Genomic DNA, 13,797 nt, shown 5'->3' on the forward strand with positions numbered 1-13,797 from the left:
CAGCCATGGCCCAGCAGCCCACAGGCTTCACCCACAGGCGGCCGCCCTGGTAGCACTGCAAATCCAAACTGTCTTGGAAGAAAGCTTGGCGGAAGCAGGTCCTCTATAAAGCTGGATGCTCACACGGCCCTGCAGGCCGCTCTGACACAGGGTGTGTGCGGGTCTGCACTCTGCTGGGGCAGTGCCGGAGGCCATTAGGCAGCGGAGCCCACCTCCTCCTCCCGGGGCCACCACAGCCCCGCCCAGCTGCGCCGGGAGCTGGGGGTCCTAGGACCTGCTGGGGCCCCGGCTCTGCCTGTGTGTGTTGGGGTCCTAGGTGGAGGTGTCCCCCACACAGGAACATGGTTAGGAGGGGCTGCCGCCCCCGGACACTTGGCAGCATGGGCGCAGGCCCACGCCTCAGATGCCCTGGCTCCAAAACCCGCCAGGCGGCCCCGCTGTGCCCTTGCACTGCTCTGGCCTCAGAGGTGCAGAGCCCGGTGGGCCGGAGGTGCCATGAGAAGCTTCTGGTCACACAACACGCCACATCTAAACACAGTCCACGCCTTACAACATCCTCCCACCACAGGCCATTCAGGCAATTTTAGAGGGTTCTAAACTGACTCTTGGTTTTTATATAATAATTCTAATTAGAAAACATTTTTCTCCTCTGACCAGATCTACCACAACTAACCCAAAGTGGGGTTTTTCAGTGTTTAAAACAAGAGATCCTGTGGATGAGGCTCAGCTCTGCAAAAGGCACCTGCATTTCACCAGGGAAGCCTCTGGACAGCGCGAGAAAGGCTGCACCCAGCAGGCCAAGCATTCCGAGGGCACTCCCAGCTGCAGAATCCACAGTGACCAAGAGTCAGGGGACAAATGACCCATAAAACCCCAGCAAGCCTTTCCAGAAGTCAGTGAGCAGAGGGCCTAGAATAGCCAAAACGATTTCAAGAAATGAGAACAGAGTCAGAAGACTGACTACCCAACTCCAAAGCTCATCGAGGCTTGACTGCAAAGTGGCAGCGACGTGGGCACGGGCACGCGGCCAGCCCCGCAGCCCAGGGGGAGTCTGGCTCAGCCACATGCATGCTGCCCCCCCGATGTCTACAGGTGCAGAGGCAAGCCAGAGAGAAAGGACTGTTTCTTCCACAAGTGGAGCTGGAGCAACTGGTGATCCCTGTGCAAATTAAAATGCACTTTGGTCTATACTGCACACTATATACAAAACTAACTCAAAATAGATGACGGTCCTAATTATGAAACTAAAACTTCTAGAAGAACACCAAAGAGAAGATCTCTGTGACCTGGGGTTAGGCGAAGATTTCTTAGAAATGGCAACAAAACATGGCCTATAGTGGAAAAAATGGATGAACTAGACTTCATCAAAACGTTCGAAACTCTGCTCTCAGAAGACACCGTTAAGGGAATGAGAAGACAAGCCACAGACTAGGAGACATGCCTGAGAAAGGACTTGTCTCTGAGATACACAAAGGAACCTTAAAACTCAGCAGTAAGAAAAAAAATCCATGTGAAAAGACGGGCAGAATATTTGAAGCAGACACCACCAGAGAAGACACGTGCATGCAGACAAGCACACGGAGAGGGGTCCGCGTGGGCCCCATCAGGGAAGTACAGACAAGCACACGGAGAGGGGTCCGCGTGGGCGCCGTCAGGGAAGTACCGACAAGCACACAGAGAGGGGGCCGTGTGGGCGCCGTCAGGGAAGTACCGACAAGCACACAGAGAGGGGGCCGTGTGGGCGCCGTCAGGGAAGTGCGGACAAGCACACAGAGAGGGGGCCGTGTGGGCGCCGTCAGGGAAGTACCGACAAGCACACAGAGAGGGGGCCGTGTGGGCGCCGTCAGGGAAGTACCGACAAGCACACTGGAGAGGGGTCCGCGTGGGCCCCATCAGGGAAGTACCGACAAGCACACGGAGAGGGGTCCGCGTGGGCCCCGTCAGGGAAGTACCGACAAGCACACGGAGAGGGGTCCGCGTGGGCGCCGTCAGGGAAGTACCGACAAGCACACAGAGAGGGGGCCGTGTGGGCGCCGTCAGGGAAGTGCGGACAAGCACACGGAGAGGGGTCCGCGTGGGCGCCGTCAGGGAAGTACCGACAAGCACACAGAGAGGGGGCCGTGTGGGCGCCGTCAGGGAAGTGCGGACAAGCACACTGGAGAGGGGTCCGCGTGGGCCTCGTCAGGGAAGTACCGACAAGCACACAGAGAGGGGGCCGCGTGGGCGCCGTCAGGGAAGTGCGGACAAGCACACGGAGAGGGGGCCGCGTGGGCGCCGTCAGGGAAGTGCAGATGGAAACCACAGCGAGGCCCCTGCACACTCTCCAGGGGGCTCAGACAATCAAATAAACTGCCGGCACCTCGAGCTGAGCAGGCCGCGGGGTGGGGGCCTCGTCCACACCCGGCCGAGCAACGCGGCAGAGCCACTGTGGACAGCTTCTCATCACAGCCAAAGGTGGCCCAGCAGTCCCGTTCCTGGGTCCTTGCTCAAGAGAAATGAAAACAGAGGCTCACACATAAACGCAAATGTTTACCACTGTTCTGCTCGTAGTCACCAAACCCCAAACAATCCAGTGCCCTTCAGCAGCGGCCAGACCACAGTGCTGTGATGTGTGCGCACGTGGACAGCACCCCCACCCCTCGAGAACAAGCCCAGGATACGCACCCAACGCGGTGGGTGCCAAGTGGCCAGGCTTGGAGCCAGGCACGGAGGTGCCGCTGGGTGATTCCCAGACCCCAAGGCGGATGCTGTGTTTAAACAGCACCTGAGGGTTCCCATACACTTTACACGCGTGTCCTAAAGACACAACAGACACCATCAACAGCGCTGAGCCAAAGAAGAAATCGCGCTGAGAAACACACCAAGTGCTCGGGGTCCCACAGCTCAGACCCTCACGCCTCATGGGGTCCCAGGGAGGGGAGCGGAGGCCTCGCTGTGTCCGGAGGGGGCTTTGGGGAGACAGAGCCCCAGGGCGGGGCCTGGACTGCTGAGGGCAGCCACGCAGGGCACATTCCAGACCCGCCGGCCATAGGGCGCTGTTGTCCAGCAGCATCCCCCAGGGGGCGCTGGTGAGCCCGGTGAGCCGGAGGTGCCCTGGGCAGCTCTGTGGCGTGGGGGTCCGCGGTGTTGGGGGTGGATTTAGCCCCTTGACGCGCTCGGCGTGGACACCCGCACGTTCCCTGTGGTGCTAGAAGAGCCAGGCCACCCCAGGCAGCCCACAGTGCCTGGAACTGACAGTGCCCATTGGGCCCTGTGGGGGTGTTGACTCTCTGGGGCCCTTGGGGCCTCTGTCTGTCCTGGGCCGTCAAAGGCTCTCCTGTCTTCTATTCCCACCCTGCCCAAGCTGACATGCGGACGCCAGGCCTGACTGCCAGCCTGGTGACCAGTGCTGAGGCACGCAGCCCTTTCTGACGGCCTCGGAGCCAGGCACCACCAGCATGAGTCACTCGGCGGGAGGGGGATGGCTGAGGGGCTCCCCCATCAGAGGCGACATTCAGATCCGGACACCTGCTCTGCGCGCTCCCCGAGTGTCTCGGGGAAAGGGCGCCCGGGTCTCTGCCCCACACGGGCGGGGAGCTCTCCCCAGGAGACCCGGGTGCCCCCCGCCTGGGGCAGTCCTCAGGAGTTCTAGGACAGCGGTGCCTGCCTCTTCCCCAGAGACACTCAGTCTGGCTGCCCGGCTCTCCTGACATAGAGTGGGCCTGTCCTCCAGAGACCAGGGTGCTGGAGGAGCCTCCGAGTGTGGAGCTCGGCATCCTCATTGCCCATGCTCTCCCCAGCCCGGCGCCCTGCCCCAAAGCCGGCCCAGCAGGACGCAGCCGCTGCTCATACACGATGCCCTGCGGGGCCTGGACTTGCTTCCCAGGCTCTGAGTCCCCTGGCCTCTGGGCCTGGTTCAGTCTCTCAGGGACACTGGGACCCGGCCTGGGGCCTCCAGGAGCTGGGCTCAGGCCAGGACAGCCCTCCGAGGACTGAGGCCTGTTCCTCCGGGGCGGACGTCACAGGCCCCGCTGGGCTCGGGACTGTGCATCCAGCACCCTTGTGAATCAGGAATGCCCTCCCATGGTGCCCTCTCTGAGGGGCGGGGGCCGGCGGGCGAGGTGACAGCTACCAGCTCCCCTGGGCTCTCTGGGCCTGCAGCTGCTGTGGCTGGAGTGCCCTGTCCAGAGGCTGCCACAGGTGGGAAGCTGGGGGCTGTGGAGGGGAATCTCTGGGGAAACAGCCTCTCCCTGTACTTAGGCGAGTCTGAGAGAGAGGGGCTGCGGCTCCCCCAGGGCACCAACCTCTGGGATCTTCCATTAGCCCCTGAGACCTGAGGAGGCTGGGAAGGACTCCCTGGCTGCTGGGCCCCACGGGGGGAGGGGGAGCTTCTGGGGAGGTTCCTACCTGGTAGGGACGCGGCCTTAGGGGAGCCCTGTCTGGCATCGCCATCCTGCACGTCGCTCCGAGTTCTCACTGCTCCAGGAGGGTCCAGTGGTCCCGTTCCAGCAGGACCCAGCCTTGGGGTTCCCCATGCCTGTTGGCCGCCCCTGCCTCCCGCAAGCCCCAGCAAGATACAGAGGACCTAGAGCAACGTTTCCCGGGGCCGACAGAGGTCGGTGGCAAGCCCTCCAGGCCCTGCCTATTCTCCCCTCATAAGTGACTCCACCAGCAGCTGAGCACCTGGGGGCAGGTGAGGTGATGTCTGGCCACCTGAGAGGGCTTCTCCCCTCATCTCAGGAAACCGGAGCCCTTCCTGCACCCTACTTGGCTCAGAGGATGGATGGCAACGTCCACTGGGCCACGGCAGCTCAGGCCCCAGGGCGGGCTGAGGGCCAGGGCCCTCCCATTGCTGCACCAGCTCTAACCCCAGGCACACCCACCATGAAGCCCCCACACAGCCGGTCGGGGGGCTGCCTGAGCTCCGGAGGTCTGGCTACCGAAGGCTCCCCCCTGCCTGAGGGGCCGCCTGGGATCAGCGCACTGTCTCCCTCTGGGCGCACACCCTGCGCTTGCTGCTAATTAATTTTGCGTTGCTGCCGGCCTTTTCGTTTTCCTGGGGAGGGGCGGGGGTGGGGCGTGTGTAGTCACCGCCCTGTGGACATCACTAGGAAGAGGTGGCCCTTGGTGGGACGTGGACTTGGGGCCCAGAGGGACCCCGGGCAGATCTGAGGGGCCCGACCTTCTCTAGGGGGCCCCAGGGGCTCGGCTGCCTCCATCCACCCCAGTCTCGGCCTGGGCAGGGCTTTGGTCTGTGCACCTGAAGTCAGTTTCTGGCTGTTTGTTTGGAGATCACCTTCTCAAATGACCTGTGTTGCCTGGTCAGGCTCATGGGGCAAAGTGGACAGCCAAGGCCACGCCCACCACTGGCCAAGCGCAGGAGACGGGTGCCTGTCGCCGCACAGTGCTCTGGGGATTGCTGGTGCTGCCCGGCCTGCAGGGTACAGGAGCCACAGGCCTTGACTGTGAGGCCACAAGCTCCTGAACCCTCAGCCACAGACGTCCATGGCCAAGGGTCCCCCCGCAGGGGCTCCACTCTGCGGAAGCCACGTTCATCCTGCCCTGCCAGGCGTGGCCACTAGAGGCTCCCCAAAGACAGAACTGGCCCCAGGGCTCCAGAGCCGCCGAGTGCAAGCCCGGGACAGGGTGGCACCCACAGCAATGGAGGGACAGGGTTGGGTGTGGGGAGTGCAGCCCACCCTTCCCCCGGGCTGGGTACCACGGGGGAGGGGGAGGGGAGCAATGCAGCCCTGAGGCTCCTGGCCCCTTCCAGGGAAGCTGACACCTGCTTTTCTGGGATGGACAGACAGGAGGACGTCACACACAGTGCTCTGAGGACCTCACTTGCCCTGTGGCGGCTGCCCTCCAAACACACTGTGACCTGGATTCTCTCCAAACCTGGGTCCTGCTCCTGGGAGGTGGTTGGGTTGGCTTCCGTACTGGGAACAGTCCGAAGACTTTAGGACAAAGTGTCCTACCGGCCCTCCACACTTGGGGTGACCACAGACCCCAGTGCCGGCTGGCCGGGGGGGTGTACCAGGCTCAGCAGCCCTCCACGCTCGGGGCAACCGCAGACCCCAGGGAGCCTGGCCCTGCTGTTCTCAGTCTCCCACTGGCCCTGGCTTCCTTCTAACCAGCGTCCAGGTATCAGTCTAACCCCCAAGCCAAGCCACCACCCAGTATCCACCCAGGTGTCTATAGGAAACGTCAGTGCATTTACTTGGGAAAATACACCACACCCAGCACACAAGCGTGGGTCCTGGGGGAGGCCAGGGCTCCCAGCCAGCTGAGACCGCAGCCCAGCCCTCCTTCCTCTGCCTCATCGGCTGGGTGCCCCCACCTGAGCTAGATGGACCCATAGGGGGCCAGTGAGCAAGGCTGGCAGACCCTCGCCCAGAGGCTGGTGGTGTTTGGTGCAGTTGGGGAGGCAGCAGCTGAGCCTGACCCCAGGGGTCCTGAGGCACCCATGGCATGGGCCCCTCCCCAGGCTCGAGGAGGCGCTGGGAGATTCGCTGTCCATGGCTCTACCGGGCCCCACTCCCACCGCCCGTGGTCCGGTCCCGCCTGTGCACGCTATGCCTCCATTAATATTTTAAAGCTGCCACCGCACGCTCTTTGCAGGAGGGAGTCATTGTCTGGGTTAACAGTAGGCTTCAACAAAAACCTGGCGTAAGGCTGCAAGAAATTTGTTTAAGATTTAACACATAGTAACATCAAAACAAACAAGCGCTGCCATGGCAACGAGGACTAAACAAAGGCTCGCAGATACCCCGAGCTGGCGCCACGCCGGTGGAGCCATGGCAACCTGCCCTGAAAACAGAAATCGGTAGACTTTTTCTCCACAAGTCCTGTCAGAGTCAGCAGCTTTCTGCAGTACCGAAGGCCACTTCCTCACGGTCCCCAAGCTCCTGAGGGAGGCAGAGGCTCCCACAAGTGACAGTGGGCACCCCCTCCCCAAAATGCAAAACAAAAGCAACTCCCACAGGCCCGCCGCCACCACCCCTTGCTTTCCCCGGAAATCGAAGGAAAATCTCTAGTGTCCCCAACGCCTCGTGGTGGCCCTGCTCCTCTCTCTTCCTGAGACAAGGGTGTGAGTTTTTAGGCCCCTTGCTGCTGTACACCTGGGAGGTCAGGACCCCGTGCCAGGATCACAGGGACCCCCCGAGGGGAGTCCAAGCTGCAGGAGGGAAGGACAGTTTGAGGGTGGGAGAGAGGAGGAGGTGGGGGCAGCCCTGGGGGGCCAGGGTCACAGGGGTCCATGGCTGCAGGTGAATGGGGAGGGGGGGAGGTCAGAATCCCTTGGCCTCCCCTCAGGCCGGAGTCCCAGTCCTGGCCACCTGAGCTGCTGCCCGCAGGACAATCTCCCACACGGCGCCCACTCACGGTGCCCAGCCTGCCGACCAGGCTGCCCAGGACCGGGTCTCAGCCTCAACCCCTCGCTGGGCTTGGGCCACAGCTGTCTGCTCCCCCAGACCTTGACCCTCATGGTCAGCCAAGGCTGGCACACCCCAAGGCTGGTCCCCGGCCCCACACTGGGGAGGTGAATGTGCTGGAGCAGGGGGCCAAGCTTTAGCCCCCCAAGCGCCTGAGCAGCTCCAGCCCTGCCTCTGGGAACAGGCCCAGACCAGCTGGGGCTCCTCCGGCCTCCTGGGGTGCCAGCACCCCCACAAGCAGGCAGGGCTCCCATCATTCTCCAAATGAGCCACAGCCACCCAGCCCCACCCACCGCAGGGAGAGTTCTGCATGTGTGTGCAGGCGTGTGTGTGCACATGCGGCCATGTGCATGCACACATGCGCCATAGTTTGAAAGCAACTTTCTGCAGAAGGAATCACAGCCGGCACTGCACTTGGTGTGTCCGGGCCAGCGCCAAGGCTGTGCACATGGGGCCGGCCCTGCAGGGCTGACGGCCCCTGGACAGGCTCTTCCTACCTCCCGCCCAGCCCTTCTAGGAGCTTCACCCACAAGCACCATCTCCACACCGCTTTGCCCCGGGTCTGCTCCTGTGTATCCTGGAACACACATTGGGCGGCACAGAGGGCACCCAGGGACTCGTCCCAGATGTGTCCACACGCCCGAGCCTGCTGAGGAGCAGCTGCCAGGGCCCAGGAGCACGGGGCTGGGTCCCCTCCAAACAAGGACACCTGAGGGGGAGGAGGAGCACTGGGGGGCACAGGGGCCCTGGCAGCCAAGGGGAGGAGCTGCCCTGCCCTTGCCCACGCAGGCTCTGGACCTGGCGGCCACACTGCGAACCCCACCTGCTTCTGCGTGGGCTAAATATAGCCGACCCAGTTTCCCTCTCCCGGTCCGAGTGCCCGGGACACGTCCCCTTGGCAGAGTGAGTTCTGGGCTCAGGACAAGGGCACTGTCTGTGCCAGAGGCTCTGGCCCCTGACCTCCCGGGCACAGCCCAGGTCACTGCTGCCTGCCCATGGCTGGTGACCCACCAGAGCGGCCCTGGTCACCAGGACCTGCCAGCAGCTGGCTGGGGCCATCTACACAGGCCCACACCGCATGGCCCGCTGCTGCAGGAGGCTGCAGGTTTCCAGCAGGGGATGGCAGGCTGGTCTGTCCTCCAGGCAGAGGCTGCAGGTTTCCAGCAGGGGACAGTGGGCTGGTCTGTCCTCCAGGCAGCGGCTGACATAAGCCCTGTGGATGATGTGGGAGCTCCAGCGAGCCTGTGGGAGCTGCCCCTTGCCAAAGAGCCCACAAGCAAGGCCTGTACTGCAGAGTCAGGCGCCAGTTGCTTCAGCCACAGTCCTGAGGGAGGTGCAGCCCTGAGAGTCAGTCCACAAAGGATCTGTGGCCGGGGGAGCAGTGAGGGGGGCACAGTGTGGCCGGGGGAGCAGTGAGGGGGGTACAGTATGGCTGGGGGTGCAGTGTGGCCAGGGGTGCAGCATGGGGGGTTCAGTGTGGTCAGGGGTGCAGCACGGGGGGTACAGTGTGGCCAGGGGTGCAGTGTGGCCAGGGGTGCAGTGTGGCTGAGAATGCAACATGGAGGGTACGGTGTGGCCAGGGGTTCAGTGTAGCCGGGGGTGCAGTGTGGCTGGGGGTGCAGTGCAGGGGGTACAGTGTGGCCGGGGGTGCAGCCCAGGGGGTTCAGTGTGGCCAGGGGTGCAGCGTGGGAGGTACAGTGTGGCCGGGGGTGCAGTGTGGCTGGGGGTGCAGTGTGGGGGTGTGCAGTGTGGCCGGGGGTGCAGCGCAGAGGGTGCAGTGTGGCCAGGGGTGCAGTGTGGCCAGGGGTGCAGCACGGTGGGTGCAGTGTGGCTGGGGTGCAGCACAGGGGGTGCAGTGTGGCCAGGGGTACATTGTGGCCGGGGCTGCAGTGTGACCAGGGGTGCAGTGTGGCCGGGGATGCCGTGTGGCCGGGGGTGCAGTGTGGCTGGGGGTGCGGTGTGGCCAGGGGTGCAGCATGGGGGGTACAGTGTGGCCGGGAGTGCAGTGCCAGAGGTGCAGGCTGTTGGACGGACCCTCGAGGGCTGAGCCCCAGCCCTTGTTGGGCCCCTGCTGGTCCCCTTGCTCTGGCAGGCTCCTTGTGCCTTCCTGGTCTCAAGGGGCCCCAGGGATGAGTGGTCCTGGGTTAGTGTGGGCTCCAACCGCTAAGGTGTTGGCAAATGATGGCCCTTTCCGAGGCCGGGGAGCACAAGGTTGCATGACTACCTACACAGAGGGGCCAGCCACAGCCTCCTCTCACACCGGCCAGTGGCTGAGCCCATGAGGACACTGAGGCTGGGAAGCCACAGAGGAGGTTGGCGGGGCCACTGGGACTGGACAGGGTCAAGGATGAGACCAGCTCGCACCCGGGGCCCTGGATGGAGCCTCCCCTCCAGCTTCTCTGGGACTGAGGCTGGGAGCTGTCAGGAAGACGAACAGGACTCGCTGGCCCTGGTTGCCTCTGCCGTCCCCTAGAGCTGGGGGAGCCTGCAAGGCAGTCAGCTGGAGAGAGGGTCCGGGTTCAGGCATCCTTCTGAGCAGTTTCATGGCTTTTCTGGCATAACTTTCCAAACCCCAAATGCCCTCGGATGCACTCAGATGCGCCGTACACAACAGGAAGCTCAGCAGGACACGCAGTCTAGGAACATGCACGACCCAGGAGACACCCAAGACCCAGGGGATGTGTGACCCGGGAGACACATGTGACATCGCCACGGAGCACAGCAGAGACGGAACAGCTGCAAAGGTCACGGCGCCCACCCAGAGCTGGTAGATGGGGCGCTGGCGCCGCAGAGGTGGGCCCCACAGCCTTCCACACAGGGGCATCTGACCCACGGCCCGGCCCCTTGCAAAGCCAAGGCCGCAGAGGGGGAAGGTGCAGGAGCTCTGAGATGAAAGAGGTGATGAGTTTGCGGCAATGTAGGAATGAAATACATCGGCCACAGGAGGACGCAGGTGCAAACCACCGAAATAAAGCCATTGCCACACAGGCGGACAGGACGGGGCTCAGGGAGAACCGCTGCTTTTCTCGGGTGCGATCATGGTGGGGTGTCGGGACATGAGGTGAAATGTGCTGGGGCGTGTGAGGGTGCCTCAGTGTGCTTCCCAGCATTCATCCAGGAGAAAACAGACAATGCGTGACACGGCAACAGACGTGTGCACACATGACACAGAAACGCACGTGCACATGCAGAAACACATGCACACATGCGCACACGTGCACACACGACACAGAAACGCGCACACACGACGCAGAAACATGCACACACGACGCAGAAACGCGCACGCGCGCATACACGACGCAGAAACGCACGCGCGCACACGACGCAGAAACGCGCACACGTGCACACAGAAACGCACACACGACGCAGAAACGCGCACACGTGCACACGCAGAAACGCGCACACGTGCACACACGACGCGGAAACGCACACACGTGCACACAGAAACGCGCACACGTGCACACGACGCAGAAAAAGCAAACGGCACGATGCGGTTTCAAGGTGGTGGCCGGAGCCGCCTCCTTGGTGCCCTTTGCCATTTTGCCGCCCGTGGGAATCCTGGGGCAGAAATACAGCAGCACAAAGGCTTTGGGAGGGGCTGGGGGACACCCGAATGGCCAGCTCCATGCATGGGGACACAAGCATCCAACCTCTGAGACTCAGCCGCTGAGCCAGCCCACAGAGGGTCAGGAGCTCTGCCCGCCAGCAGCCACCTGCCCCTCCAGGCTCCAGGCAGCCACTGCCCCCACTCCTGGGGAAGCCCAGTGATCCCAGTCACAGCTCCCTGACTCCGGGGAGCAGCATTCACCCCGAGTCTGCTCTGAGGCCAGACATCCCCTCATAGGCCACCTCCCATGCCGAAACCCTACACACCCACGGGGCTGAGAGGAGCCAGGGCTGCCACTCAGGCCTCGGCACCGAGAAGTCCGGCAATGCCCGGACCCCTGCTCCCTGGGGGCCCAGATGGCACGTTCAGGCTCCCATGTCAGGGCTGCTTCTGAGAAGGGCGGGGTCTTGAAGCACAACCCCCTCCACTCCCCATGGCCCGCTCCCCACAGAACCCACCCAGGGGCTCAGGGCCGCAGACCCCCGTAAGTCAGGTCCCTCGGCCCGTGAGCCCAGCGCACTCACTTGATCTTGCTGAAGACGATGTCCACGTCAGTGACGGTCACGTTCCTGCCGTCGATCACCTGGCAGTCCTTGCACAGCTTCGACCAGTTCTTGCCGTGCATCTCCCTCCCGGTGGCCCTGGCGTCCCCGTGCACGGCAAAGCGCCGGAAGGCCTCCTCCAGGGCACTGAGCTCAGGGGATGCGGCTGCCCCCTCACCAGCACCCTCCGATTCCAGCGACAGCCTCTTGGCTGCCCGGTCCTTCGAGGGGTCCCCCGGGGACTTGGGGGGCGTCCTGTTGGCAGCTTTGGCAGGCTTGGCCTTGTCAGCCATGTTGCTATGGAGGAAGGAGAGGAGAAAGGTGTCACCCGGGCCATGTCCCAGCTGAGCCGGGTGCAGCCCAGGAAACCCCGCCGTACCAATGAGCACCAGGACGTGGCGAGGGCTGAGATGGGCAGGCCCTCCTGGGGCTGGGCGTGAGGCCCCTCAGACCCTTGGAGCCAGCTGCCCCGCAGGCACGCATGTCCAGCCCCGGGCAGAGTGGAGCCAAGCGAGGCCTTGCCCACTGCCATCATTGGGCCAAGGACCCCCTAAGCCAAATAAAGCCAGCAGCACGCAGAGCCCAGGGTGGGAGCTGAGCTGGGTGCCAGGGGCTCCAGGCCTAGGAGGCTCAGTGTGTGACTGGCAGCATCAGAGCCTATTCCGGGTCCCCTCCCCGCCGCAGTTCCACTGTCCCTCCTGTGGACGCCCGCTCTGCAGCTCTGGAGGACACCTCGGGATCACGCACTCCCCAGGGTCTGTGACGTGCTGCCTTCCTCTGGGAGGGTCCACAGCAGTCGTGCGACAGCCGCTCCCTCCCCACTGCAGAGCCTCTGACCTTAGATGGAGCTTTAGGCTGGGGAGGGTGCGTGGTGGCCCTGGGGGCGCCTCAGGATGCTCTTCCCAGGAGCCCTGGGCCTGGCCCCGGCCAGGGGAGGGGACTGCCAGTGTGCAGGGCTGAGGCAGTGGTGGGGGCACCGGTGTCAGGGCGCAGGGACGCCCTCTGGACTTTGCAAGGCGCCCGCCCCCAGAGTAGGCGGCTGGGCCATGGGGTTGAGAAGACTGAGGGGTGCCACCCAGGCAGGGCTTGGGGACGCAGGGCTACGCCACAGGGCAGGGCTGCCGAGGCCACCTCCCTACCATGCATGGGCTTCGGTAAGACCCAGTCAGGCCCTGAAGGACTCAAGGCTGAGGTGCTGGACTCAGGGCATGAAAGCTGCTTCCCAAAGGGGCCTGGACACCAGGTGGGCCGTCAGCACTGCACTGAGAGCTGAACATGGCCTCTGCCCACAGACACAAGAGCCGGTGGGAGGGTCCGTGCCGAGGACACAGGTAGGTGTCCCAACCCTGGGACTCACGAAGCCCTCTCAGATCTGGAGTTCTCAGCGCCAGTCATGGCCAAAGTGTGGCTCTGTAATCGTGGGGTCCTGAGTGTGGCCGCTGCTGACCCTGAGATCCCACAAATTCCCCCAAAACAGCCAGAAAAAAATCCAGGGGCACTCCCTCCACTGAGGACCTTAAGGGCCTCAGGCCCCACCCACTCACCCCTTTCCCTGGAAGGCACCAAAAATGCAGATGCCAACCCAGCGGAGGATGCAGGGGCAGGATCCTGGTGGGGGCTGGGCCGCGTGGGGGCAGGATCCTGGGGGTGGAAGGGCCGCCTGGGGGCAGGATCCTGGGGGTGGAAGGGCCAGGTCAGGTGTCGAGCTGGGAACAGTTTCCAGTTTTATCGCTGACACCATTTCTTTGTCTGAAACAGGAGCTTCTCACAGGCCTGGTCTGTGTTTCCCCTGGGCCTCTGCAGCAGGGGTCGCTGGACAGGAGGAGCAGCTGAGAAATTACCAGAAGCAATGGTGGGTTTTGTGAGCACCCAGAACAGTGGTGGGTGTGCGGGTCAGAGAGAAAGAACCTTCTGGGATGCTTCAAACTCAGGGCTGCGTTCTGTGGTCTCATCTCCTGTGGGGACGCGCCTGAACAGAGACCCTTATTCACACACCTCAGAGAGTCATCTGAGAACCTGCACCCCGTGGGGCCCGCCTGGGAGCAAAGGGATGAGGGAAGCCCCTCAGAGCCACCTTCAGGGCTCACGCAGGACTTCCCAGCCCATCAGCACGTGCTTTGCATGAGGTTTTGATAAGCTTGGAGGTTGGCCTTGGAGGGCTGAGCGGGACATAAAACGTCCTGCCCTCATGAGGCCTTCAGTTGGGACAAGTGATAAACAAATAAGCAATGACACA

The 13,797-nt window shown here is 63.2% G+C and overlaps 2 protein-coding genes across 13 annotated transcripts in view, besides 10 other annotated features; one reads left to right on the forward strand and one right to left on the reverse strand.

Annotated features, from left to right (window-relative positions):
• The window catches only part of CEP72 (centrosomal protein 72), a 64,277-nt gene extending 53,867 nt beyond the window's left edge, over nucleotides 1-10,410 (forward strand). For 8 of the 9 annotated variants that reach the window (XM_047417363.1, XM_047417364.1, XM_047417365.1 and 5 more), the window contains one exon: nucleotides 658-10,410. The gene's annotated coding sequence lies outside the window, so the exon portion shown is untranslated. The remainder of the gene's footprint in view (nucleotides 1-657) is intronic. The other variant, NR_164122.1, reaches the window with a different exon arrangement.
• TPPP (tubulin polymerization promoting protein) overlaps nucleotides 1-13,797 on the reverse strand; it is a 40,866-nt gene that overhangs the window by 6,345 nt on the left and 20,724 nt on the right. For 3 of the 4 annotated variants that reach the window (XM_024454346.1, NM_007030.3, XM_047416674.1), the window contains one exon: nucleotides 11,544-11,858. In XM_024454346.1, the coding sequence (XP_024310114.1) occupies nucleotides 11,544-11,854 (311 nt within the window). In that variant the 5' untranslated portion in view covers nucleotides 11,855-11,858. Of the gene's footprint in view, nucleotides 1-11,543; nucleotides 11,859-13,105; nucleotides 13,737-13,797 lie in introns of those variants that run through there. The other variant, XM_017008993.2, reaches the window with a different exon arrangement.
• Nucleotides 2,845-3,599: an enhancer, noted in NCBI's record as "H3K4me1 hESC enhancer chr5:669166-669920 (GRCh37/hg19 assembly coordinates)". NCBI's record gives its function as "activates a minimal SCP1, AML or CMV promoter by ChIP-STARR-seq in naive H9 embryonic stem cells {active_cell/tissue: H9 hESC(naive)}" and the evidence as "EXISTENCE:reporter gene assay evidence [ECO:0000049][PMID:30033119]".
• Nucleotides 4,888-5,057: an enhancer, noted in NCBI's record as "experimental_86803 CRE fragment used in MPRA reporter constructs". NCBI's record gives its function as "activates a minimal promoter by MPRAs in K562 erythroleukemia cells, with activity observed for both the introgressed and non-introgressed 5:671294 variant alleles {active_cell/tissue: K562}" and the evidence as "EXISTENCE:reporter gene assay evidence [ECO:0000049][PMID:34662402]".
• Nucleotides 5,420-5,589: an enhancer, noted in NCBI's record as "experimental_86807 CRE fragment used in MPRA reporter constructs". NCBI's record gives its function as "activates a minimal promoter by MPRAs in K562 erythroleukemia cells, with activity observed for both the introgressed and non-introgressed 5:671826 variant alleles {active_cell/tissue: K562}" and the evidence as "EXISTENCE:reporter gene assay evidence [ECO:0000049][PMID:34662402]".
• Nucleotides 6,187-6,356: an enhancer, noted in NCBI's record as "experimental_86811 CRE fragment used in MPRA reporter constructs". NCBI's record gives its function as "activates a minimal promoter by MPRAs in K562 erythroleukemia cells, with activity observed for both the introgressed and non-introgressed 5:672593 variant alleles {active_cell/tissue: K562}" and the evidence as "EXISTENCE:reporter gene assay evidence [ECO:0000049][PMID:34662402]".
• Nucleotides 7,200-7,769: an enhancer, noted in NCBI's record as "H3K4me1 hESC enhancer chr5:673521-674090 (GRCh37/hg19 assembly coordinates)". NCBI's record gives its function as "activates a minimal SCP1, AML or CMV promoter by ChIP-STARR-seq in primed H9 embryonic stem cells {active_cell/tissue: H9 hESC(primed)}" and the evidence as "EXISTENCE:reporter gene assay evidence [ECO:0000049][PMID:30033119]".
• Nucleotides 7,735-7,904: an enhancer, noted in NCBI's record as "experimental_86819 CRE fragment used in MPRA reporter constructs". NCBI's record gives its function as "activates a minimal promoter by MPRAs in K562 erythroleukemia cells, with activity observed for the introgressed 5:674141 variant allele {active_cell/tissue: K562}" and the evidence as "EXISTENCE:reporter gene assay evidence [ECO:0000049][PMID:34662402]".
• Nucleotides 10,017-10,186: an enhancer, noted in NCBI's record as "experimental_86823 CRE fragment used in MPRA reporter constructs". NCBI's record gives its function as "activates a minimal promoter by MPRAs in K562 erythroleukemia cells, with activity observed for both the introgressed and non-introgressed 5:676423 variant alleles {active_cell/tissue: K562}" and the evidence as "EXISTENCE:reporter gene assay evidence [ECO:0000049][PMID:34662402]".
• Nucleotides 10,017-10,309: a biological region, named in NCBI's record as "Neanderthal introgressed variant-containing enhancers experimental_86823 and experimental_86827".
• Nucleotides 10,140-10,309: an enhancer, noted in NCBI's record as "experimental_86827 CRE fragment used in MPRA reporter constructs". NCBI's record gives its function as "activates a minimal promoter by MPRAs in K562 erythroleukemia cells, with activity observed for both the introgressed and non-introgressed 5:676546 variant alleles {active_cell/tissue: K562}" and the evidence as "EXISTENCE:reporter gene assay evidence [ECO:0000049][PMID:34662402]".
• Nucleotides 10,362-10,531: an enhancer, noted in NCBI's record as "experimental_86831 CRE fragment used in MPRA reporter constructs". NCBI's record gives its function as "activates a minimal promoter by MPRAs in K562 erythroleukemia cells, with activity observed for the introgressed 5:676768 variant allele {active_cell/tissue: K562}" and the evidence as "EXISTENCE:reporter gene assay evidence [ECO:0000049][PMID:34662402]".

This window comes from Homo sapiens, chromosome 5 (genome assembly GCF_000001405.40).
Source record: "Homo sapiens chromosome 5, GRCh38.p14 Primary Assembly".
NCBI lineage: Eukaryota > Metazoa > Chordata > Mammalia > Primates > Hominidae > Homo > Homo sapiens.